The sequence below is a fragment of the Homo sapiens genome, chromosome 8 (genome assembly GCF_000001405.40).
Source record: "Homo sapiens chromosome 8, GRCh38.p14 Primary Assembly".
NCBI classification, from domain to species: Eukaryota; Metazoa; Chordata; class Mammalia; order Primates; family Hominidae; genus Homo; species Homo sapiens.
Window position 1 is genome coordinate 6958896 of NC_000008.11, and position 1913 is coordinate 6960808.

General features: G+C 45.4%; 1 pseudogene across 1 annotated transcript; it reads right to left on the reverse strand.

Annotated features, from left to right (window-relative positions):
* Positions 1-393: 393 nt before the first annotated feature.
* On the reverse strand, positions 394-1266 carry DEFA9P (defensin alpha 9, pseudogene; annotated as a pseudogene). The gene is made up of 2 exons (NR_073408.1): positions 1095-1266; positions 394-506 (listed from the first exon to the last, which is right to left on the reverse strand). The product of NR_073408.1 is annotated as a defensin alpha 9, pseudogene (transcript).
* Positions 1267-1913: the final 647 nt, after the last annotated feature.

The window sequence follows — 1913 nt, forward strand, 5'->3', positions numbered from 1 at the left end:
GACAATGATGGTTTATGGAACACGTAAGCATTATCTTTGCATGAATCCAATCAAAATGAGGCAGAGTGAAAAGGCAGAGCAGTAGATGGGGAGATGAGCAGCATCATTTGAGCTTTCCTAACAATGTGTGTCTGAAGCCTTTGTTCATCTCCAATATTCCTAGAATTGGAACTGGCTTTTGTTTAACATGTAGAATTTAGTGTTCTGGTACTTGCATCCCATGGTCTTGACTAAGACACATATCAAACATTAAAGAGGTGCAAACACAAAACTTGCTACAAGGACTTTACGAGAGATGAGGAAAGGAAGCTGGAGACCAAGTACAGTAGTAATGAAAGTTATCTTCTATGTCTGAAAGCTAGTTATGAACTTACTTTCTTCTGTTCCACAAGCTCAGAGGAAGCAGAATTTGTAGTGAATCTCACCGGAGGTGCAGGTTCCATAGTTGCGTTCTTGAAGATGATAATCTCTTATTCTGCAAGAGCATCTCAAGAGGGTTCTTGGGCCTGGGGATACAGAGAGCATCAGGCATTAGGACTGGGGTCAGATGTGGGTGGTAGACAGAATCCCCGTGCAGTTACCTGCTGGGCTGATTGCGTTAATCACAGTGGCCACATCAGAGCAGCAGCAAGATCAGCTGAATCAGTAGGAATCAATGTACACAGCAGTGCTGCTCACAGGCAGGATTAGAGACGCATTCTCATTTGCTCACCTTTTTGTAGTCCTGCTCCATCACCAAGGCATCTGATCACACTCATAGGCCTCTTGCTAGTTTCTAAAACTCTTCTAATAGACAAAGTGAAACATGTTTCTTCAAGAGTGGGCTCTCATCAATGATGCAGGGAAGATGGCCCAGTATGTTTCTGCAGAGCATAAAATAAGTGTGCTTCTCAGAATTGTCATAGACTCAAAAATCTTCGGAGAAAAGTCATCCCTGGAGTATCATCTGGTTCTTTCCTTTTAGTCTACACATGAGGAAATTGAGGCCTAGGGAGGTGATCACCTAAGAGAAAGAGCCAGCTGTTGGGTCTGATTCTAGAGGTGCCTGGTTTTCCTCTCTAGACTCCTAGCTCTGCAATGCTGGCGGCTCTCACCTGAAGCTCTAAAACCTGAGCTTGTGTCCCCAGTGAAGGAGATGGTAAAGTCCTGGTCGTCTGCCCCAAGCTGTTCCTGGGCTGCAGCCTAGTCAGCTCTTGCCTGGAGTGGCTCAGACAGGGCCTGGAGGGGCACCAGGAGAATGGCAGTGAGGAGGGTGAGGGTCCTCATGGCTGGGGTCATCTGGAGGAGGGATAGCAGGAGGGGATGTGTGGGGAGTGAGGAGCAAGCCTGGATTTATAGCTCTACTGGGAGAAGGCCTGAGACAGATGCTGCAGTGACAGGAGGTGGAGCTTGTGATTGGTTGTGGCAGGGCTACCCTTGCCCTCCAGGTCCCTTTTGTGTTCTGGTGTTTTCCCAGCTTTCATCATAGCTTGAGGCTTTATGTTTAGTGTCTGGACTGGATCCAAGCTGATAGTGAGGCTGAGTACCCTTATTTATTTTTCTGTTTACAATCTACTTGAATATTTTCTTTTTGATATTGAAAAATGTAAAGAAACCGTGATTTCATTCATTAAGTTGGGGAACAAATGCCTCTTATTTTCTGAAGATGGGCCCTGCCACTGTCTGGAGCCCCAGATCTGAACCCAGTGGCATAGAAAATTAAAGCAGTGGAGAATTCAGGGACATTTCCACCCTCATGAAGAGGTTATAGGGTGTGTAGCCTCCTCCTGGGGCTGGTGTGAGGACAAAAAGACTTAATCAGGCTACAGGTGAAATGAGCTCATTAGGATACTAGGTCAAGAATAAGTAAAACTAAAGCCAAATGGTGGGTTAATTTTAAGAAACAAATGTCATTTGGACAGATCAGGTAAAAT